General features: G+C 46.5%; 1 protein-coding gene and 1 long non-coding RNA gene across 2 annotated transcripts in view; one reads left to right on the top strand and one right to left on the bottom strand.

Annotated features, from left to right (window-relative positions):
* Positions 1-22,161, bottom strand: part of RAB37 (RAB37, member RAS oncogene family) — a 76,205-nt gene extending 54,044 nt beyond the window's left edge. The window contains exon 1 of the mRNA NM_175738.5: positions 21,634-22,161. Coding sequence (NP_783865.1) covers positions 21,634-21,705 — 72 coding nt within the window. The 5' untranslated portion in view covers positions 21,706-22,161. The remainder of the gene's footprint in view (positions 1-21,633) is intronic.
* On the top strand, positions 15,682-23,232 carry RAB37-AS1 (RAB37 antisense RNA 1). The gene is made up of 2 exons (XR_007065904.1): positions 15,682-15,943; positions 16,824-23,232. It is a non-coding gene; the product is annotated as an RAB37 antisense RNA 1 (long non-coding RNA).
* Positions 23,233-23,470: the final 238 nt, after the last annotated feature.

The following is a 23,470-nucleotide window of genomic DNA, read 5'->3' as shown; positions in this document are numbered from 1 at the left end:
TTCTGTCCTTCTAACAAGATAAGGCTTGCTCCCTTCTTAGGGCCTTGGCATTTGCTATTCCTCCTTTCCAGAATGCTCTTCCCGCAGACTGGTGAATAGTTAGCTCCTTTTTATCATCACATTTCAGCTTAAATGTTACCTCTTAGAAGAGGCCTTCCTTGGCCACTTAGGGGGCAGTGGCCCCTGCAGCCCACCTCCAATTTCTCTCTGTCTTGTTGCTCCGCTTTATTTCCTTTGGTGAAATGACTTATGTAGTGGGGTCTGTGTTTGTCATTTTCCCCATCTCCACTAGGCTGTGTGGTGCCTTAAGTGGGGACTTTGTCTCATTCACTCCCATATCCCCCGTGCCTAGTTACTGTCTGGCACATGATGGGTTCTCAAATGTTTATTGGTTGACTCAATGAATAAGCAGTGTATTTGGAGTAGAAGGCATCTCTCAGAGCACAGGCAGCGGTGTTCACTATTCTGGCAGGGCAGTCCTGGGCCAAACAACCTAAGGAATTTCAGGATTGACTGCCCAGAAGCATGACGTGGACAGACTCCTTTTTCCTCTCCTGAAAATTGAGGAGAGATGAGGGGCTACGATGTCCTCTGGCTGGAGGACAAAGGTCTATCACTTCATCTAGGTTGATTTTTGTTGGATGGGGGGATTGTAGGGAGGGGCTGGGGATAAAGTGTCAGGGAAAGGCATCATGGCTTGGGAAGAGATGACGAGCTATCCCTGAGCACCACAGGCCGGTGACCCAGCAGGTAGGAGGCTGTAGGCATGTTTAGCAGTCCATATCAATGTGTCCTGGGGTTTGCCTGACTTCTCACAGCTATGGACACCCCAAGGGCATCTGGCATTGGTGACCTTGGTGGAGAGATCCTGCTCCCATGACCTCAAAGATCATTCCCTAGAATTTCAAGGGCTTTTCCGCTCTGGGGGACTTCATGGAGCCCAAGCAAGCTTGACTATTCTTGAGCTAGTCATCTAAGCTGGTCAGGTCAGAGTGAGACTGTTTTTGACACAGACTGTTTTAAATTTACAGAGCAAGAAGCGCCCACAGAGAGATCTTAAAATGGAAAAGTTCAAAGCAGAGCCAAATTAGAATGAGTCAAGGTATAAGAATAAAAGTCATAACATGGCCGGGTGCGGTGGCTCATGCCTGTAATCCCAGCACTTTGGGAGGCCGAGGTGGGCGGATCACAAGGTCAGGAGATCGAGACCATCCTGGCTAACATGGTGAAACCCCGTCTCTACTAAAAATACAAAAAAATTAACTGGGTGTGGTGGCGGGTGCCTGTAGTCCTAGCTACTTGGGAGGCCGAGGTAGGAGAATGGCATGAACCCAGAAGGCGGAGCTTGCAGTGAGCTGAGATCGCGCCACTGCACTCCAGCCTGGGTGACAGAGCAAGACTCCGTCTCAAAAAAAAAAAAAAAAATGGCATAACATAAGGCCTTAGATCAGAGCGTAACTGTGCCATTTCAACTATTGTGCATAAAGTGGATTTATTTCAGAGTTTATTTCAAGCAGCCAGCACTACCCAGAATGTATAAGTATATGCTTATGTTGGATAGAAACGGATTCATCTTTTCTGGTAATATAAAATCATAGATCCCAGTGAAGATTATTGCCATGAAACTTCTGACATTAAGCTAGACGCACAGGGAAGACTAGAATTTAGCTCAATTTGGCTTGGCTGGAGGAATTGGGCTGCTTCTACCTTCATCTGGATGGTGGACATGGGCTGCTGAAGAGCAGTGAAACAGCATGGGAAGACCGATCCATTCTGATCCCTTTTGGTTGCCTTAGTCAAACTTTGAAAAAAGGTGTCTACAGGCCGGGCATGGTGGCTCACGTTTGTAATCCCAGTGCTTTGGAAGGCTTAGCCAGGAGGATCACTTGAGTCCAGGTGTTTGAGACAAGCCTGGGCAACGTGATAAACCCATCTAAGGTTACTGGGGTTTCCCTCCCTTGGTTTTTGAATTATTAATTCTTAACGATTCTGGGCTAGGCATGGTGGCTTACAACTCTAATCCCAGCACTTTGGGAGGCCAAGGCAGGTGATTGATTGAGCCCAGGAGTTCGAGAGCAGCCTGGGCAACACAGGGAGACCTACAATAATTAATTAATTAGCTGGGTGTGGTGGCGCACGCCTGCAGTCCCAGCTACTCCAGAGGCTGAGGTAGGAGGATTGCTTGAGGATTGCTATCTCTACAAAAAAATTAAAAAAATTAGCCAGGCGTCTGTGGTCCCAGCTACTTGGGAGGCTGAGGCAGGAGGATCAGTTGAGCCCTGGAGTTCTAGGCAGCAGTGAGCTGTGATCATGCCACTGCACTCCAGCTTCGGTGACAGAACGAGACCCTGTCTCAAAAAAACGAGGAAGTGTCTACAAGAGAGAACAGATTACTGGATATACTGTTTTTATCTAAAATTCTAGCCCTCTGAATTGGTGGCAGTCTGAAAGGGACCTTTTTATGTTCTCAGAAATAGGTTGACAGTCATGAGCCAGTCCAGTCAATTCCAGAGCTGGACAGAGCAGATCTCTGCCTTGTGGTCCTGATAGGAAGTGTCTGGGTTCTCTCTGTGCAGTGCTATGACTGTAGGAGTCAGCTGCTAATCCAGCCCGGTTTGCTCAAGCCTGAGCTAGAGTTTAGAGTGCTAGAGAAGTAGCTGGGGCGAGAGGAGGGAGGCAGATATACGCAAGAGGCAGGAAAGGAAATTGTTTCATAATGTCTATAGATTTGTATCTGGGTGTCATCTCAGCCGTATCCCCGCACCCCATCATGACTTTGCTAAGGCAGAATTTGGGTGGCTGGCCAGCACGTTTATTGCAAGAGGAACCATCTTAAATATGGTTCCTCAGGTCTGAGTGAGGGTAGCATTTACTATCTTGTTATATGATTTCCAGGAAAGCACATTGTGTTAAAACAAACTCCAAGATTTCTAAGCACTCAATCCTGATTGAGTGCCTAATTATTTATAGCCATCTAAAGTTGCTGGGGCTTCCCTTCTTGGTTTTTGAATTATTAATATTTAAAGATTCCAGGCCAGGCATCGTGGTTCATGCCTCTAATCTCAGCACTTTGGGAAGCCAAGGTGGGTGATCGATTGAGCCCAGGAGTTTGAGACCAGCCTGAGCAACATAGGGAGGCCTACAAAAAGGATATCTCCACCAAAAATAAAAAATCAGCTGGGTGTGGTTGTGCACGACTGTAGACCCAGCTACTCCAGAGGCTGAGGGGGTAGGATCGCTTGAACGTAGGAAGTTGAGGCTGCAGTGAGCCGAGATGGTACCACTGCACACCAGCCTCAGGGACAGAGTGAGGCCTCATGTCAAAAAAGATTCCACTTGATAAGCCTGTAAGCTTTGGACAGCCTCCTTTTGAGAACTATGTGCATATCATTGGCTTTCAGAAGATAGTACTGTTTGAGAGTAGTTGAGGGAGAAAAAAAAACTACTGAGTTGGCAACCTCCAAAATCCATGAGTAAGATAAATTTGCACTCAAGTGAGGTGAAAGGCTACCTTTGCTTGACATCTTGAAAAATAGAGCTCAAAGCTGCTTAGCCTTGGAAAGGGGAGACTGCTGGAATCGGTTGATTTCATGTACCAATAAATTTTTTAGATTGGCAAGGACAGATACAGTGATCAGCCTTTTATTCTACCAAGTAGGCACATTTTTTTTAGCTTTTCAGTTTTCTTTGCCAAAGTCAAATATGTCTGAACCAAGTAGGTAAATTCTTATTCAATTTCACAGGAATTGGTAATTGGTCAGTTCATTGAAAAAGTTTGTTAAACCCGGAACTCATAAAAGAGATATACTGTATTTTTTCTTTTCTTTCTTTCTTTTTTCTTTTTTTTTCCAGACAGAGTCTTGCTCTGTCACCCGGGCTGGAGTGCAGTGGCGCAATCTTGGCTCACCACAACCTCTGCCTCCCGACTTCAAGCGATTCTCTTGCCTCGGCCTCCCAAGTAGCTGGGATTACAGGCATGTGCCACCATGCCTGGCTAATTTTTGTATTTTTAGTAGAAACGGGGCTTCACCATGTTGGTCAGGCTGGTCTTGAACTTCTGACCTCAGGTGATCTGCCCACCTCGACCTCCCAAAGTGCTGGGATTACAGGTGTCAGCTACCACACTCGCCCACACCTGGTTAATTTTGTATTTTTAGTAGAGACAGGGTTTCACCATGTTGGCCAGGCTGGTCTTGAACTGACTTCAAGTAATCCATCTGCCTCAGCCTTCCAAAGTGCTGAGATTACGGGTTTGAGCCACTGCGCCAAGGCTATTTTTCCTCTACATGTTTTATTTTGACTTAAAATATCTAAATGTGTAGTTATTAGCAAGTATTTTGATGTAGACCTAAAGCCTTTGCTTTGCTTACAAGTCTGCTGAAAAGTGGGGCCCATTGCCTTTCCTGAAGCACAAACCACACACACATGATCCTGGGGTTTCAGTTCCAGTTTCTTTAACATGAAGCAAGAAATTCTAGAAACTTATGAAGCCACCTGATTGCAAAATCTTTCTTCATTTTTATGCATTTCTTTCCGATATTTTACAGTTCTCTCATTCATTCCTAATTTGATAGCATTTTAAAAAGTGACAGGCTTTTATAGTGTCTTTCCAAAGCAGTTTAGTTTTTGTAGAGATAACCGTTCTCTTTTTTTTTACACTCTTATTTTATTGGTCAATAGTCTTTCTGTTTAAATTCCTTTGTATTTTCTTTTTCTTTTCTTTTCTTTTTTTTTTTTTTGAGGTGCAGTCTTTCTCTGTCACCCAGGCTGGAGTGCCGTGGCGTGATCTCAGCTCACTGCAACCTCAGCCTCCCAGGTTCAAGCAATTCTCCTGCCTCAGCCTCCCAAGTAGCTGGGATTACAGGCACCTGCCACCATGCCTGGCTAATTTTTTTGTATTTTTTAGTAGAGACAGGGTTTCACCATGTTGGCCAGGCTGGTCTCGAACTCCTGACCTCAGGTAATCCCCCTGCCTTGGCCTCCCAAAGTGCTGGGATTACAGACGTGAGCCACCACGCCCGGCCAATTCCTTTGTTTACAGGTGAATTGATTCAAGTACATCATTCTAGTTAACACGTATGACCAGCATAAGCAAGTATGGGCCCAAATGCATTCTTGTTAACCAGGTACCACAACTGTGAGAGCAGAGAAGAGCCTGCCAGCTGTGAGCACTCTGTGCCTCAGGCTTAGTCAGTGTGCTCCAGTAAGAGACTGAAGGGTATTGGTTGACCTAATAAGTTGGTTAAGTGAGGGGTTGCTTAACAAAGTTTCTATTCAACAATCCATTGTCACCATAATTTCATAAAAGAAAGGAGCTTTGAGCACCCCAAGTCTCAGGATAATAGACAGTATTTCCTAAGAAAGGACAGTTGGTAACTTTATGCCAACATCTACTGATGTGTGTGTATCGTTTCCTACACATCAGTTGGTACTTGTCAGGGGCTGGTACTTAGGTATGGACTGAGAATTGGCAGCCATGGATCCGGTTCACACTGTTCTCCAGGCATGGACCCGCTCCATCACATCTCCGCTGGTGTAGTGAGGCTTCCCCTGAGGGCCTCTAGTGACCCTCTTTGTTTGGAGGCTGATGAAGGTTGTCACTAATGAGAGCTGTGGAGCTCTCCAGTAGTTGTGAAAGGGACCCTTGAAGCAATCAGATTCCCCCTGCCCCAGCACAAGCCCCTTCCCCAAAGTAGTCCACTGTGACCATATCCTCACATGGCTCTGTCCTGAGGGTCTGCAACTCTTGCATCAAGAAAGGGTGACTTGGCTGGGTGTGGTGGCTCACGCCTGTAATCCCAGCACTTTGGGAGGCCGAGGCAGGTGGATCACCTGAGGTCAGGAGTTTGAGACCAGCTTGGCCAACATGGTGAAACCCCATCTCTATTAAAAATACAAAAATTAGCTGGGTGTGGTGGCGGGCCCCTGTAATCCCAGCTACTTGGGAGGCCGAGAAAGGAGAATTGCTTGAACCTGGGAGATGGAGGTTGCAGTGAGCCAAGATCGTGCCATTGCACTCCAGCCTGGGAGATAGAGCAAGACTCCATCTCAAATAAATAAATAAATAAATAAATAAAAATAAAATAAATAAATAAAATAAACTGAATAAATAAAAAGAAAAGGTGACTGACTCATTTGTTTTTCTGAAGGTACCTCTGAGGAGGGGCTCAGAATTAAGGGAGGGGAAAGACTGTCCCCCAAGGTCAGAAATACAGGAGGGACATTCTGCACCCTTGTGTAGTAGAAATCTGCTATGAGCAGAGCAGAGCACTGGCACTTGTTGGCATTTACATGCAGAATGCTGCCCTCTATCAATGACGCAGAGGGTTTCCACGACAAAGAAGCAACAGGTCACAGGCCCTGATCTCAGCTATACTGCCCGGTGCCTTCCCTCAGTTCAGTGGAAAGAGTTGTGAAATTCAGACGGTGCACTTATTTCAAACTTCACACAGCCTCTGCAAAATTAATAATAAGCAAAGAAGGACTGCGACCCAGAGACCTTGCATCCTTGCACTGTAACATCCAGCTGTCTGGCAGGTGGCAAGGGAAAGAACCAGTGGAGATGTAGGTACAGTAAGTCAGCTTAAAATACTAGAAGAGGCTGGTTGTATGGCTCATGCCTGTAATCCCAGCACTTTGGGAGGGCTAGATGGGTGGATCATTTGAGGTCAGGAGTTAGAGACCAGCCTGGCTAACATGGCAAAACCTCGTATCTACTAAAAAAAATACAAAAACTAGCTAGGTGTAGTGGTGTACGCCTGTAATCCCAGCTACTCGGGAGGCTGAGGCAGGAGAATCACTCGAACCCAGGAGGTAGAGGTTGCAGTGAGCTGAGATGGTGCCACTGTACTCCAGCCTGGGCAACAGAGCGAGACTCCATCTCAAAAATAATAATAATAGGCCGGGCTTGGTGGCTCACGTCTGTAATCCCAGCACTTTTGGAGGCTGAGGCGTGTGGGTTGCCTGAGCTCAGGAGTTTGACACCAGCCTGGCCAACATGGTGAAACCCCGTCTGTACTAAAAATACAAAAAATTAGCCAGGCATGGTGGCGTGTGCCTGTAACCCCAGCTACCTGGGATGCTGAGGTAGGAGAATTGCTTGAACCTGGAAGCAGAGGTTACGGTAAGCCGAAATGGCACTACTGCACTCCAGCCTGGGTGACAGAGTGAGACTCTATCTCAAGAAAAAAAAAATATAACAAGATATGAGGGCAAATGGGAGAGAACGTGGAGATAGAGTGAAGGAGAGTCTGCCCAGGGGCAGTGCTGGTGCTTGCAAAGCTTGGCTTGCTTTCCTGGGCTTCTTACCCTGCACTTGGGTTGATGGAGGCAAATCCCCAGGGGATGCTGTTGTTTGCTCCTCCACTCCTGAGACCCAATTAACGGTGACTAACTGCATTTGGGCCTGCTTCATCTGAGCAGCTCTGCACGCAGGGTCTTGAATCCACTTTGTGAATGAATATCTCCCACTGGCATTGATTTTGCTTTGGTGTTTATCCTGGGCCAGGCTGAGATTGTCACCTGGGCTTCACTAGCATTTCTGGAGGTCAGTGATAAAGGGGTTTGGGGGAGCTTCCAGTCCAAGCCTTCCCTTTCCTAAGGACCTTGGGAATCTAGGGAGGGATAAGGAGAAGAGTTAGGGTCTGGAGTTGAAGCTTGGATTGGGGTTTCTCTTTTATTCCCTGCTGAGTGCCCTTGAACAACCACTGAATGTCTCTCAGATCTCTTTTCTCTTCTACGAAATGGAGTGTAACTAAAAGTGCCGCAGACCCATCAGGCTGTGATTTCAAAGTAACCAAACTAGGGCTTGGAGCAGTGGTTCACGCCTGTAATCTCAGAACTTTGGGAGGCCAAGGCAGGCAGATCACTTGAGGTCATGAGATCGAGACCAGCCTGGTCAACATGGTGAAACCCTGTCTCTACTAAAAACACACAAAAAATTAGCTGGGTGTGATGGTGCACACTTGTAATCCCAGCTACTTGGGAGGCTGAGGTGGGAGAATCGCTTGAACCCAGAAGGCAGAGGTTGCAGTGAGCCGAGATCGCGCCACTGCACTCTAGCCTGGGTGACAGAGCAAGACTCCATATCAAAACAAAAACAAAGTAACCCAATTAACCTTCTATCCCATGGCTATCTTGCAAAGTGGATCCCAGCTACCTATAGGAGCCTTCTTTTTTTTTTTTTTTAAGGCAAAATGTTAGCATTTAGTAAATATAGATGGTAGGTACATGTGTCATTTTCTTTTTGTTCTTCTAGTTTTTGTACCTTTCTATGAGTTTCAAAATTTCAGAATAAACCATGAATTTTCACTTATCTATACAATGGAATTCTATGTAGTGATTAAAAAGAATGAAGGTAAAAATGTGTATAACAAAATTCCTATGATGGATCTATCTATCTATCTATCTATCTATCTATCTATCTATCTATCTATCTCACACATATGTATAAATAAACACATGCATGTATTTTTACATGGCAATTTCATCTTCTTTTTTTCTAAGGCAGAACCTTGCTCTGTCACCCAGGCTCGAGTGCAGTGGCACAATCTTGGCTCACTGCAACCTCTGCCTCCCAGGTTCAAGTGATTCTCCTGCCTCAGCCTCCTGAGTAGTTGGGGTTACAGGGACCCGCCACCATGCGCGACTAACTTTTTTGTATTTTTAGTAGAGACAGGGTTTCGTCATGTTGGTCAGGCTGTTCTCAAACTCCTGACCTCAAGTGATCCAGCTACCTCGGCCTCCGAAAGTGCTGGGATTATAGGCGTAAGCCACCGTGCGCAGTCCATTTTTATTTTTAAGATATGTATTTTGAAACACTGGCATCACAGGAAATTTTTTCTTTGTTTTTCATTTTTCAAATTTTGCAATTAAATATATTAATAATAATGGCTCTCTTGGCTGGGTGTGGTGGCTCACGCCTATAATCCCAGCACTTTGGGAGACTGAGGCAGGTGGATCACTTGAGGTCTGGAGTTCATGACCAGCCTGGCCAATACCATCTTTACTAAAAAAAAAAAAAAAAATTAACAGGGCTTCATGGCACACATCTGTAATCCTAGCTGCTCAGGAGGCTGAAGTAGGAGGATCACTTGAACCTGGGAGGCAGAGGTTGCAGTGAGGAGGCAGAGGAGGCAGAGTGCATGCCACTGCAGTCCAGGGTGACAGAGAGAGACTCGTCTCAATAAATAAATAAATAAATAAAATAATGACTCTCATTATTCACTAATAGCCACCAATATGAACTTATTGTTTTTTCAGCACAATGCTCAGATCACAAACATGATCCCTGTCTACTTCTTCCCCTGCCTCTGTCACAGCCACTTACCCCTGAGGACTTGCCCACCCACCCACCTTCGGACTGTCTGATCTGCCTTCCAGGCCACACTTCCTGCTGCCCGTGACCCTCGCAGATGCTGTCCTGGGGACGCAACCACCCCTCGACAGTGAATGCCACTGTGGTGCTGCCCACTCCTTTGCCATCTGGCCCAAAGCATAAGATGACTCTTCCCTGGTTACTCGAGGCACATCCAAAACCAGGCGTGGTGTGAGGCCATCAGAAGGCAGAGGTGCCCCAGGGAATAGCTCAAAACTACCCCACAGAGCCAGGCTCAGACCTTGCAGGGGTTTTTATCTGGCAGCAAGAATGGCTATATAAAATAAAAATACAGGGGTCCTTGTACAAACATTATTAAGACTTTAAAGATGGCGAATGCAAAGTGTTAAACCAAATGCAGGGCCCTTCTAAGTGCAGGGCGTTATGTGACTTTGTAGGTGGCATACTCATAAAGTTGGCCTTGTTTGGTGCTTTTCTGCCTCACTTCTCATCTGTGTTCATGTAGCCCTGGGCTGACACGCCCTACACAGCAATGGAAAAATTCAGGCGTCTCCATAGCAGCTAACCATGGTCCTTAAGAGAGGCGGAAGAGCTTCCCCTCATTCCTGTCTGAGCTCCGTCAGCTTCCTGAATCCTCATTCCCTGCTCCAATCAACCTCTTCCCTGGATGGTCCACAGTTGGATCATCTATTTCCTTCAGAGAAAATTCTACTCCCACCCATAGAGGGAGGTCTGGCTCTGCAGCCCCAATAAGCCTATCGCTTCATAGGGTGACAGCAGTTTGTTTCCCAAGTCCAGTCATTAATAACCCAAATCCAGTTATTTAGTCTTAAATGACACTATGTGTGAGGCACCAAGAGGCCAGTTCAGGTGGGACTGTGACAAGTTCTCTTCATTTCTTTTCAGGCACTTCTCATTAAAGATTTGAAAATGCTGGGACTCAGCCTTGCCCTGGATTACCATGGGACATCTGTTGTTTTTGCATGGCTAGCCTCCAGATGACACCATCCCATTTTCCCTGGAAACCATTGTCTTCCACTCTTTTTTTTTGAGACGGAGTTTCGCTCTTATTGCCCAGGCTGGAGTGCAATGGTGCAATCTCGGCTCACCGCAACCTCCGCCTCCCGGGTTCAAGTGATTCTCCTGCCTCAGCTTCCTGAGTAGCTGGGATTGCAGGCATGCACCACCACAACCGGCTAATTTTGTATTTTTAGCAGAGAAGGGGTTTCCCCATGTTGGTCAGGCTGTTCTTGAACTCCCGACCTCGGGTGATCCACCCGCCTTGACCTCCCAAAGTGCTGGGATTACAAGCATGATCCACCACGCCCGGCCCATTTTCTTCCACTCTTGATCTACAGGGCTTGGGTGGGATTGACTCCACCTTCGGGGTGGACATGTGACCCGAGCTTAAGCCGTCCATCATGTTCTACCCTCTGGCTATAGTATTGGTTCAGGGGTGGGCATGTGGCAATTTCAGTCTCCAGTGAGTATTGGGTCTAGGACTTTGTTTGGAATTGGGAGCTGTGAGGATGTGATCCTGGGGCTGCTGTCAATAATGGGGCCCCACGGGGAGAAGCCTGCCTGTGAATGGAGCCAAGCCAGAGAGAAAAATGAGAGAGAGAGAGAGACAGAGAGTGAGGCCGAAGTCACTGAGAGTCCCTGGGACCAGCTGAGCTCGATGTCAGCTGCACTCCCTAGGCTTCTCTGGTACAGGAACCAATGAGTTCTCTTTTCGGCTTAAGCCAATTTGAGTTGGGTTTTGTCACTGGAAATCGAGAGTCCTGATCACAAGATTTCCCCTTTTGCAGTCAAGAATAATGCCTGTTCTCTTTACACACAGTGCTGGGGAATTCAACCGAAATGATTTATATGCAAGTTTTCTGCAAGTTGGAAAGTGCTGTTGGAATGGAATGACCTAGAATGTACAGCTGGCTAACAGCAGAGACAGGGATAAAGCTTGGTTCTTTGGTACTCAAAGCCCAGTTCTCTTTCTCTGCTAATGAGCTGCCTCCTACTCTAAGAAAATCAGTGAGCAGGGCAGAAGGTGGTCAGGACAGGTGGTGGACAGGGCAGGTAGTGAACAGGATGAGGGTGAAGAGGGAAGGCAGTAGACAAGACAGGTGGTGGACAGAACAAGTGATGGATGGGGCAGGTGGTGGATGGAACCAGTGGTGAACAGGACAGGTGGTAGACAGCACAGGTGGTGGTCAGGACAGGTGATGGTCAGGGCCTATGCTATGCTGGTTCTCATGTGCCTGCTGTCTGGAGGAGACCTGGTTTCAGGGAAAGGAGAGTGAGGGTCCTGGAGGACATGCCTGCAGAGCTCACGTGGCGTGCCCCTCTGTTTTCCCAAGCCTCTCTTTGTGTGCCACACTGTCATCCCAAGGGCTGGGATCCTGGTGTTTTGGGTTTGGTTGAGTGTTTTTCAGCCCATGTCTTTGGAGATGGTCATGGAAGGGATCCAGCTTAGTTTCTATGTGTTGGACTCTGCCACAATTGGACAGGGGTCTTTGCACTGGGCACTTCTCAGAAGTGCAACAGGAGTCTCTTCCTTTCTTGGACATGGGCTTGAAGGGATCCCTGTGTTGAGGGGCTCAGAGCCCTCTGACCTTCAGAGGTGGGGCCCCATCCTGGGACTTTGGGCTTTATAACCCCTCAGATCCGTCAATCAGCCAGGAGCCAGAAGTTGGCAGCCTCGAGAGCTGCAAGCTTTTGACCTGGTCCCCAAGGGCTCAGCTTCCCACTATATGGGACTAGAGGTCTTTGACCTTCATGGGCACCAAGGTCCACGTGGCACACTGAGCTGCAGTCAGATGTGGCCTGAGCCATCTCTGCCTGTGCCATCCCTCTGATCCACCCAGCCTGCTGGACGCAGCTCCTTGGGGAATGAAGAGTGGGTTTTGTTCCTGGGGACTGGCATGTGGTGCGCAGTAAATATTTGCTGAATTGATTCTCAGGATTCTCAGGCAGAAATATCAGATTTCAAGGGGAGCATGTGAACAGGGGTGGTGGTGGGGTATAAGGAAATGTCCCCAATCACCTTTCTACTCTTCCATGGTTCTTGCCCCTGAAATCCAAGTCCCTAAGGCTCTGACACAGGCCTTGAGTGAGATGGAGGAAGAAGTATGAAATGACAACTCTGGCGATGATGAACGGAACATCCCTTCCCTTTCCCTCCCCATAACCAGGTCAAGTCCAGGGAATTCTCAAGCTCAAAGGCAAGGAGTTCTTAAAGGATTGCAGGAAATACAGACCTGGAGAGAATAGAATGACTGTCCGGCCCAAGGCAGTTAAATATATACAGCTGAGGGAGGCAGAGGTGGGGCAAGGGGTAGGGGAGAGGACCTAAGGGTAGAAGGGGCCAGTGGGGTCGTAGATTGAGGCTGTGCCTATAGTGTAGCCAGCTACCAACTCATGTCAGCCTGATAGCATTAAACATTTGAATCCTCCAAGTTCCATTTTTTCCCCTGGATTTCATGCTTAGCGAACAAAAAAATCTCCTGATTATAATGTGGCTTGGCATCTAGGGCAATACATGTCTTGTGAGTCTGATTAACATCAGCCTGACTGGAGAGATGGAGCCACTCTTGAGTGAGTGAGCAAAACCAGCTCTACAGAGCTGAAGGCCACACAATGGACTGCTGTCAATGCCCTAAAGTAGTGACCATCTGTGACCCTCTTGGTGAAGCCCCTTGTCCTCTCCTGACTCTATCCCTCTGCCTGTCTACCTTGCTTGGATTTGACTATAGGCAAATTTCTTAATGTCTCCATGCCTCAGTTTACTCATCTGTAAAATGAGATTAAAATAGGTTTGTTGTAGGATTAAGTGAGTTAAGAGATGCTAAGTGCTTAGAATATTACATGGCATGCAAGTGCTATCTAAGGGTCTGCTGTAATGATTCAGGCTTCCACAATGCTGGCTATGACCTTGAGCAAGTCAGTTTTTTCTTTCTTTCTTTCTTTTTTTTTTTTTTTTTGAGACAGAGCCTTGCTGTGTCACCCAGGCTGGAGTGCAGTGTCGCAATCTCAGCTCACTGCAACCTCCGCCTCCTGGGTTCAAGCAATTCTCCTGCCTCAGCCTCCTGAGTAGCTGGGATTACAGGTGCCCGCCACCACACCCAGCTAATTTTTGTGTTTTTAGTAGAGACAGGGTTTCACCATGTTGGCCAGGCTGGTCTCAAACTACTGACCTCATGATCTGCCCATCTCAGCCTCTCAAAGTGCTGGGATTACAGGCATGAAGCACCATGCCCAGCCATCTGGCCTTTGTTTCCCTGTCCTATTAATATGGACATTAATTAGTTTAATAGTAACATCTTCTGGAAAAAGCATATGTTAAGTATAAAATGTCTTGGCATATATTAAAGTGTTTCGCAAACTGTAAAGTGCTGCAGAAATAAACCATATGCTTATTTGGATAATGTATTGGGAACAATTATTAGTCTTACTGGGTCCCTTTGGATTATAGTGCAGAGATGATTTTTAATATTTCTTACCTGATAACCAAATGAAACCTGAGGTGGGACCCAGAGAAGGAGGAAGGATCTGGGTAAAGGCATGGGGGAGGCGAGGAGGGAGACTCCAGGGGCTGAAAGGGGGTGTCTGCCTCATCTGGACTGTGTACCAGACTTTATTCCCTTCCAAAGCTTACACTGCTTCTCACTGTGAGCTTGGGGAAGGTGTTACCAGTTCCTGACTCTCCCCTAGGGGTACTGCTCTAATAAATGACAGTTCCGATTTTTAATAAACAGAGTTGCTGGGAGAGGGTATGAATGCAAAATTCAAACAGGCGAGGGAGGAAGAAGAGGAGGAGAAATGTTTACTTTGCCTTTTTTTTTTTTTTTGAGACAGAGTCTTGCTTTGTTGCCCAGGCTGGAGTGCAGTGGTGCGATCTCGGCTCACTGCAACCTCAGCCTTCCGGGTTCAAGTGATTCTCCTGCCTCAGCCTCCCAAGTAGCTGGGGTTACAGGCGCCTGCCACCACGCCCAGCTAATTTTTGTATTTTTACTAGAGACAGAGTTTCCTCATGCTGGCCAGGCTGATCTTGAACTCCTGACCTCAGGTGATCTGCCTGCCTTGGACTCCCAAAGTGCTGGGATTACAGGACTAAGCCACTGCACCCAGCCTGCTTTGCTTTTAAAAGGCTCATAACAAAAGCTAAGGGGAGACAGAGAACAAAAACGGATGATCACTGGCCCTGCCCACAGCTCATGAGAGGAAGGGTGCGTATGTGTGCATGTGCAGGCATGTGTGTGTGTGTGTGTGTGTGTGTCTGTGTGTCTGTGTGTGTGGTGGCCAGGGGCAGAAGGCTAGCAAGTAAGAGAAAATTTGAACTTAAGCACAGCTTGGTTTCAGATACCTAAAAGCATGTGCATTTGCAAAAGCACAAATGATTAAATAGCATCCTCATGTTGATGGGTAGAAACTGTCTGCTAATAAGCAAATGAGAAGGTGCTAATAAGCAAATGAAAAGGCGCTGATAAGCAAATGAGAAGGGAGGGAGCTGACTTAGAAATCAAGGTCAGGAACCATGTGCTGGGAGAATTCTTGAGCCCTGCACGTCTCAAGTTATTTTCACTGCACCACTCAAGGCCTTGCTCCCTTTAGGAGCAGGGTGAGGCCTGGTGTCATCAGTTAGGGGTTAATATTTTCCAGATCTGTTTGCTTGGAGCTGTCTCTCTTGGCCCCAGAAAACCTCCTCTGGTTAAGAGATAGGAGGATGTCCAGGGCCACTCCCAGCTGGGAACTACATTGCCTGAGTGAGTTAACAAGGAGCTGTGATCTCCATTCGCACTCGCAGTCTCTACAGACTGTTTCTCTTGCCTGAGAAGAGGAGGAAGGAAGCAAGAAGGGTATTGGGATAAATTTAGAGCCACTTCAAATGCCCACTTCAACAATTCTCCAGCCTGGTGCTCACCTCTGGCTGTTTACTTCCACCCAGTAAGGCGGAGTTTCCTGCCCTGAAACTGAAGGACGTCCCTCCCTAGAACAGCTTATAAGAGGAAACATTAGGGCAGCAACACAAGTGAGTCTCAGACATTTTCTCACAAAAGGCCCCAGGGACCACAAATTAAAGGAAAGGATGCTTAGGAGAGGAAAGCCTGGAGAGTTTGGAAAACGACTTTGAGGCGCTGGACTGAGTCACCATCATTTCCTGCTGAGGTTATCCTAAGAGAACTAGCAGGCACCACCACTCCCCACACCAGCTGCCTGCTCTGGGATCTGGGCAGGACCGACCTATCAGCCAAAGGAGTCCCAGACGGCACCAGATTGCCAGTGATGTAATATACACTTCATTTGTTTATCTGTAAGCCTTCAGAGCAAGCAAGAGAGGAAAACAAGCCAGTGGAAATATTATACAGGGAGCAGCTAGCTTTTCTTGGCTTTCTTGTTTGTTCCTGAGCTGACAATAGAAATCTTTGAGAATTGGAACTAGTGCGCTTTGAAAACAAAACTCTCTTCACTTACAGGGCATGGATTTTTCTGCTAATTTGGATTCTTTTGAGGACAAATTTGCATACCATTATCATTATCATTGTTTCATCGAAAAAAAAATAAAAGAAGCACCTGTGGGATAGAGAATGAGAGAGGAACACAGAATGGCGAGTATGGTCTTTTGCTGTTTTATTTGTCTTTCTCTTGTACAATTTTCTGGCAGGGAAGGAGAACACTGTTGTATCCAGACCTTTCCCTAGGATTAATAGGTGACAGTCCCATGGGGAGGGAGCTAGCTGATGTGTGGAACTCTGTCTCTCATGGATGTTAACTTTATTTTTTATTTTTTAATTTTAATTTTTTTTGTGGGGGGACAGAGTCTCACTCTGTCACCCAGGCTGGAGTGCAATGGTGTGATCTCAGCTCACTGCAACTTCTGCTTCCTGGGTTCAAGCGATTCTCCTGCCTCTGCCTCCTGAGTAGCTGGGATTTCAGGCGTGCACCACCACGGCTGACTAATTTTTGTATTTTTAGTAGAGACGAGTTTCACCATGTTGGCCAAGCTGGTCTCGAATTCCTGACCTCATGATCCACCTGCCTCAGCCTCCCAAAGTGCTGGGATTACAGGTGTGAGCCACCGTGCCAAGCCTGGAGGTTAACTTTAATCAGAAGCCATAAGTGAGAGAGGACATTTCAAATTCAGTCAGACATGACCTTTTCTTCCTGGGTCACTCCCTTGCAGCTACCCGTATCTTTCTTAGGACACTTCTGGAATTATATAAAAGTATAGCCATTTGTGTGCATGCCTTCTAGGCCACAGGCTTAGTGAAGGTGGGAATCATTTGCGTCTATATTCTCGACAATGACCAGCCTAGTTCTTTACGCTTTGGAAATGTCCAATGCATGTTTGCTGAATGAATCGATGAGGCATGCGGACTTTTGAGGGACACAGAAATTACAAGATGGGTAATAGAAGAAGGAAGTGAAGAATAAGTGCAGGAGATGGGGGAGAGTGGCAGATATTACCTGCTTGCCTTTTCCTTTCACCCAGAAGAGGTGTTAGAGCAGTCGGAGGAAATGGACATACTTTGGAAGACAGAGACCTGGTAATCCCTTTTCACCCAAGAAGAACCAAGCCCTGGATGAATGGATGAGCAGCTCACGTTTTTCTGCCCCCCACCCCCAGTCTTTCTGAGACTGACTTTGTCCTAGGAATTGTTCGTCCCTCTGGAAGCTAGTCTGGTATGTGGATGTTCCTTAGAGCCCTGGTGATAGGGAATTAGGAAGTAAGTGCTTGAACTGAAGCCCTTTTGTCCTAATTCACTGGTATCTGGGGCAAAAGCTTGCCCTCTCTGTGAAAATGAAATGAAAATCTTTTCATTTTCTGGGAGCTCAAGGTCAGACCCTGGCACAGTAGGGACCCAATCCGTGGGCTGTTCCTGAACCCCTACCCCAGACCATTGCCCTGGATGGCTCTTGAAGCTGGTGGCAAGAGAGAACTGAGAGTTCTCTAAGGAAAAGAGCAGCCAGGTTGCTCCTTTGTTTTAAATTATTTAGCTGCACCAAATTTTCAGATTTGTGGCAACAACAACTCTATTTAAAAACTCCAGGCACATGATGGATGAGCTCAATGTTTTCAGTCAGTTCCCAGCTTCCAGCCCACCCTACGGGAATCTTCTAAGAGTTACTTGGGCTTGCCTGGGTCAGCCTCCAACTATTGGGACCAGCTAAAGTGCAAGAGCTACACAATGCCTATCATGATATTTGGCGTATGTTTTTCATATAAATGAATTTCATCAAGTCCCATACACCACCTCCAAGAGAAAAAAGATACTCAACTTAGGAAGTCAGAACTGGGATGTTTGCATAGAAGTCACGCTTTTTGTATAGATGGGTTGTGTGAGTTTATTTCCATGGACTTCTGCCTGTGAAATAGGTAGTGTGTGTGTTTCTGAGATTCTCTTGTATGAAGCTGCTGCTCTTCTCACAAAGCTCATCATTTTAGGTGAGACTGAATGTGACACCCATTGAAGCTGCTTTGGAGCCCAAGATGCATGCCCTAATACAACCACTTTTTTTTTTTTTTCGGATGGAGTCTCACTCTGTCACCAGGCTGAAGTGCAGTGGTGTGATCTTGGTTCACTGCAACCTCTGCCTCCCAGGTTAAAGCGATTCTCCTGCCTCAGCCTCCTGAGTAGCTGGGACTGCAGGTGCATGCCACCACCCCCGGCTAATTTTTGTATTTTTAGTAGAAATGGGGTTTCACCATGTTGGCCAGGATGGTCTCGATCTCCTGACCTCATGATTCATCCTCCTTGGCCTCCCAAAGTGCTGGGAGCCACTGCGCCCAGCCAATACAACCACTTTTATTGAATGCTTCCTATATTCCAGAGATTTTATATATACGCGTTACATTATATTCGCTAACATCCTTGCTCAAAAATAATAAGGCAGGTATTATCATTCCTATTTTATAGCTAAGAAAATTAAGACTCACAGATGTTGCTCAAAGTCACATCAAGGTTTGGCTTATTCCAAGCCTGGAGTTTCGTTTCATCATACGACAATATCTCTTCTCTGGCAAGTTTCTAGGACTACCCTACATAACATCTGCTGTGCTGTCAAAACACAAGATGATGCTTCTTCCTCTATAATGACAATCTCTGGGGGAGGGTGTTTGGCAAGTGGAATGTGGGAGGGGGCCTCTTGGGAAGCTGACAAGGTTCTATTTCTTTCTCTTGATAGTGATTGCACAGGTATGTTCACTTTGTGATAATTCACCAAGGTAGACACATAAGATTCAGGATTTTTTGGTGTTTGTCATATTTCTTTTTGTTTTTTTGAGATGGAGTCTTGCTCTGTTGCTGAAGCTGGAGTGCAGTGGTGTGATCTTGGCTCACTGCAGTCTCCACCTCCTCGGTTCAAGTGATTCTCCTGTCTCAGCCTCCCTAGTAGCTGAGATTATAGGAGTGTGTTACCACGCCTAGCTGATTTTTGTATTTTTAGTAGAGACAAAGTTTCGCCATGTTGGCCAGGCTGGTCTTGAACTCCTGACCTCAAGAGATCTGCCCGCCTCAGCTTCCCAAAGTGGTGTTTGTTATGTGTCAATAACAAGTCTATTTAAAAAATCATTTCCCCACGCTGGGCATGGTGGCTCATACATATAATGCCAGCACTTTGGGAGGCCGAGCGGGTGGATCTCTTGAGGCCAGGAGTTCAAGACCAGCCTGGCCAACATGGTGAAACTCTGTCTCTACAAAACAACAACTGCCAAAAAATTAGCCAGGCATGGTGGCACATGCCTGCAGTTCCAGTTACTGGGGAGGCTGAGGTGGGAGAATCACTTGCCTGGGAGGCAGAGGTTGCAGTGAGCTGAGATCACACCACTGCATTCCAGCCTGGGTGACAGACTGAGACCCCACTTCAAAAAAAGAATTTATCCTAGCAATTAATGTTGGAGGGGAGCCCTGCTTCTCATGGACAATAGACACTAATCAATCAATGGGAACTCCTTGGACTCTACTACATAGTAATTTTTAATATAATACAAATAAGTTGATGCCCTACCCCTTTACAAAAAGAGTTTTAAGTGGATCACAATAAAACATCATGCACAATCATAAAGTAGTATTAGGAGGAGGTTGTCAGCACTATATAAGAAGGAAAACTTTCCTTACATACATATGTCACTCTGCTGGGCACCACAGAAGGTTTAAGGCTGGCTCCTGCTCTCAGGGTGCTCACACAGCCAAGCTGATGACATTGAGCCTTTACTAGTAGTAAATAGATACTTGCCTTTAAATATGTTGGAACTTGTTGGAATGGGTTCCCACTCTCAATTTGGTGATCAATAAACTCAAAGGAAGTAACAGTCTTCATGGACTACATCCTACATCTCGTGTGTGGGTAATTGAAATGGAAAATACCACATCTGATCAATATTTTGAACAATCTGAGCTCCCAATCTTAAAGCTTTCAAAATGAGTATTTATACCTTTATAGGATGGTATAAACTTGGAGAGACCCACATATCTAGTTGCCAGGAAAATTTTGTAATTGATTTGTAATTATGTTCCTCTGCTTGCATAAACTTTTTTTTTCTTTTTTTTTTTGAGACAAGGTCTTGCTTTGTTGCCCAGGCTAGAGTGGAGTGCAGTGGTGTGATTTCGGTTCACTGCAGTCTCTGCCTCCCAGGCTCAAGCAATTCTCCTGCCTCAGCCTCCTGAGTAGCTGGGATCACAGGCGCACACCACCATGCCCAGCGAATTTTTGTATTTTTAGTAGAGACAGATTTTACCATGTTGGCCAGGCTGGTCTTGAACCCTTGACCTCAAGCGGTCCACCGCCTCGGCCTCCCAAAGTGCTGAGATTACAGGTGTGAGCCACCATGCCTGGCCTTGCATGCAGTTTTTACTGGGCTAAATTGACAACATCAAATAGCACAGAATTTCTTCTAGTTTACTTCAAACTGTGATGGCTTTAAAATTTCTAGACTGGGATAGTTGTTATACATTTTTTCTCCTTCTCTATATCCTAGGAATTCAGAGACCTGGAGGGAGAAGACACATGGACTGTCAGATCTAGAGACCTGCTTCCTTCAATAGCTGATTTTCTTTCATTTGTGTCAGAAACAGGCAGCATGGCACAGAGCCATGCACCTAAAACTTTATTGTGCATATTTATTCCTAGAGATCTTGTTAAAATGCAGATTCAGATTCAGCCAATCTAGGGTCAGGGCTTTCTATTGTAATAAGTTCCAAGGTAATGCCAATGCTGCTGGTCCATGGACTGCACACTTTGATGAGAAGTTTAGTAAGGATATAGAGGAAAGAATACTACACGTGTAGTAGTAATTTCTGGCTTTTAGTATCAGCTCTGCCATTTACCAGCTTGCTTTCTTGGACAAGTCATTTTTCCTCTCTGGATTTTAGTTTCCTCAAATATAAGCTGGGTGATAGAGGAGGAGGTTGGGTTAGGTTATTTCAAAGCTTGCATTCATAGACTCTTCAAAGTGATGTTTTGATTAAAAAACTCCACCTATAGGATCACGTACAGCTTTTCAAAGGACTAGCAGGTGAACTGGCATTATCAAAGCAGAAAATATAGGGGCTGGAGCAGGAAGGCATGGCAAAGTCAGAGAAAAGGAAGGTGAGCCATAATAACTTCTTATGGCAAATATAACACTTTGATTATTTCAGAGTGATGGATTTTGAATTAAAACTGTTATCCTGAGAGAGGCTACTATTTTTCCCAACAACTATCTTAGGGGGAGACCTGCATTACTGAAAACTGAGTTGCATAAGAAACTTGAGTGAAGGAAGCAATGGATATGTTAGTGCTTTGAAATAAGCAAATGCTTACAGGGGCTGTGAGGGAATCATGGCTGGAGGGAAGCTTTCTGGAGCCATGAGGGAGTCTGATTTGAAAACAGCAGTTCATCTCTGCTGCAGACCATTTATCTAATTTCAGACAAATTGGCCAGAAATTCAGGTATTTGGCCACTGCTAGCAGATGTAACAGGGAGAAATGCAGTCTCCTACAAGGGTTAGGAGAGCAAGGTGCCAGGGGTCACCCAGGGGCATAAATAGGCAAGGAGAAGGAGGGGGTGAAAAAGGAACACAGATGATGTAAGTGAATGAATGAAGCTTCTGACCATCTGAGCCTCTGGCGGCAGCCCTTCCCCAAGAGCTCACGCATCTCTGTTTTGAGCAGGAAACAGGATCAGACAGAAAGGGCTCCCCAGACTCACAGATACAAGCTAGTTTCTCATTAAGTCCCAAAGCAAAGTCAGGGGAGTGGAGAAAACTCCTGGTGCTGGCGCCTCTTCCAACGTTAGGTTGAGGAATACAGGAGATGTTTACCTTATGCAGGACGTGGTCGTTGAAGTCAGGGCCAGCTCCTCCCTGGTAGGAATCGGGTCTCTGCAGGTCCATGCCAGGCTTGGAGCTCGCCGCTCCGGCTCTCCCTGCGCTCTGCGTCAGCGCTTCCAGGAGCTCGGTTCGAGCTCCGCTGGGTGCGGCAGGCTTGGGTCTGAGCTCTGCGGGCCGGGCCGCATCCGTTTTCAGCACTGGACAGTTCCCCGCAGCGGCCGCGGCGCGGTACCAGGCGGGCAGGCGGCCACGTTCTTCCAGGACTGAGCGTTTCAGCACCAGGAACAGCGACTCCGCCGTTGTGCGCCCGGGACCAGAGTTCTGAGATCCTGTCCGCTCCAATCCCTGCCTCTTAGGACTCCAGGATGCTGGCAGGGACGCAAGATTTGGGTCCGGCTGGTGATCCCTGCGTATTTCATTCAGCTACCGGACTCCGGAGGCTCAGCACCCGGCTGCGTTCTCAGGGCATTGCGGTCCCAGGAGCTCACCGTTCCTGATCCCGAGCGAACGGGCATCTCCGTCACCACGCAGCTCAGCGCAGCGCAGCTCTCCTCACACGTTTGCAGAGGCGAAGTCCTGCGGCGCTGGCGGCGCTTCTGTTTTTGTCCCTGGACAATTCTCTCCAGGATGTATGAGATAAATAGAGCTTCTAAGTCTGAGGTCGACAGTAGATGGGTCTTAGGTGTCCCCAAAGTCCCTGAAATATGCAAAATTCTGTTTACCTGCGTTTTCCTAGGGAGAAGGTCCAGGGCTTTGATCACATTCTCTCCAGCACACATGACCGCAAGAAGTTAAGGACAATGGGCTCAGGAGAGGCAGATGGTGGTTTGGTTAGGAGCACAGGCTCCAGGATTCAAATCTCGATTCTGAAAATTATTAGTCGTGCAAACTCGGGCAAATTAATCTTTCCTAAGTGTCCACAAAATGGAGATAATATTATAATAGTACCTGCCTCATGGTTTTGTTCTGAGTATTTAATGAGTTAATTCATGTAAAAAGCCTAGAACAGTGCCCAGCGTGTACTAAGAACTCAATAAATGTGAGCTACTATGCTCTCCTGGCAGGGGATGAAGAGCTCTGGCTACTTCTCCTATACGTCAGGGGAGTCCTGCTGCTGCGACCTTTGATTGGCAAAATTGCATCATCACATGGAATATGAGAGCGTGAGGCTGACCACCATGGGAACTGGAGGCTGAGACTGTGGCCCCTGGGATTATTATCAGATTACTAAGGACAAGTCCTAGTACCAGCCACGGGCCCTTGGAGTCAATATCAACATGGAAGGAAAGAGCCAGGCTTAGGGTTAAAAGAGTGCGTTTTACTGCTGGGTTTCACTCCTTTTTGGCTGAGTTGTGTGAACCAGATCACTCGTGTTCCCTGGGATTACTTATGTTTTCTCATCTGCAAAATAGGTAGAGTAATCTATGCCCACTTTATTGGGTTTGGGGGAAGAGTGAGACAATGTACATGAAAAGTCTTTATTTTCTTTTAAATTGTAAAGTAAATTTCATTTATAAGGTGTTATTATTGCTGGAATCACTATACTGTAGATACTCAATGAACATTGATTAAATGAACAAAGCTAGGGAACCAATGTGTTTGTTTTATGAGATTCTCACTGGGCTGATTTTTTTTGTTTTTGTTTTTGTTTGTTTGTTTGTTTGTTTTCAGCCTGTGACAAATACATAACATCCAATGGTTGGGGTTCTTAATGTGAGGTGGATAAATGGATGTTAGGGGAACTTTGCAACATTGATAACATTACACAAAATTTTGCTTCTGTGACTTTTTCTGGGGGAGAGGCAATCTCCAGAAGAAGAAATGAATC

This window comes from Homo sapiens, chromosome 17 (assembly GCF_000001405.40).
Source record: "Homo sapiens chromosome 17, GRCh38.p14 Primary Assembly".
NCBI lineage: Eukaryota > Metazoa > Chordata > Mammalia > Primates > Hominidae > Homo > Homo sapiens.
The sequence above is the reverse complement of the archived record's forward strand: the minus strand, read 5'-3'. Positions and strand labels throughout refer to the sequence as shown.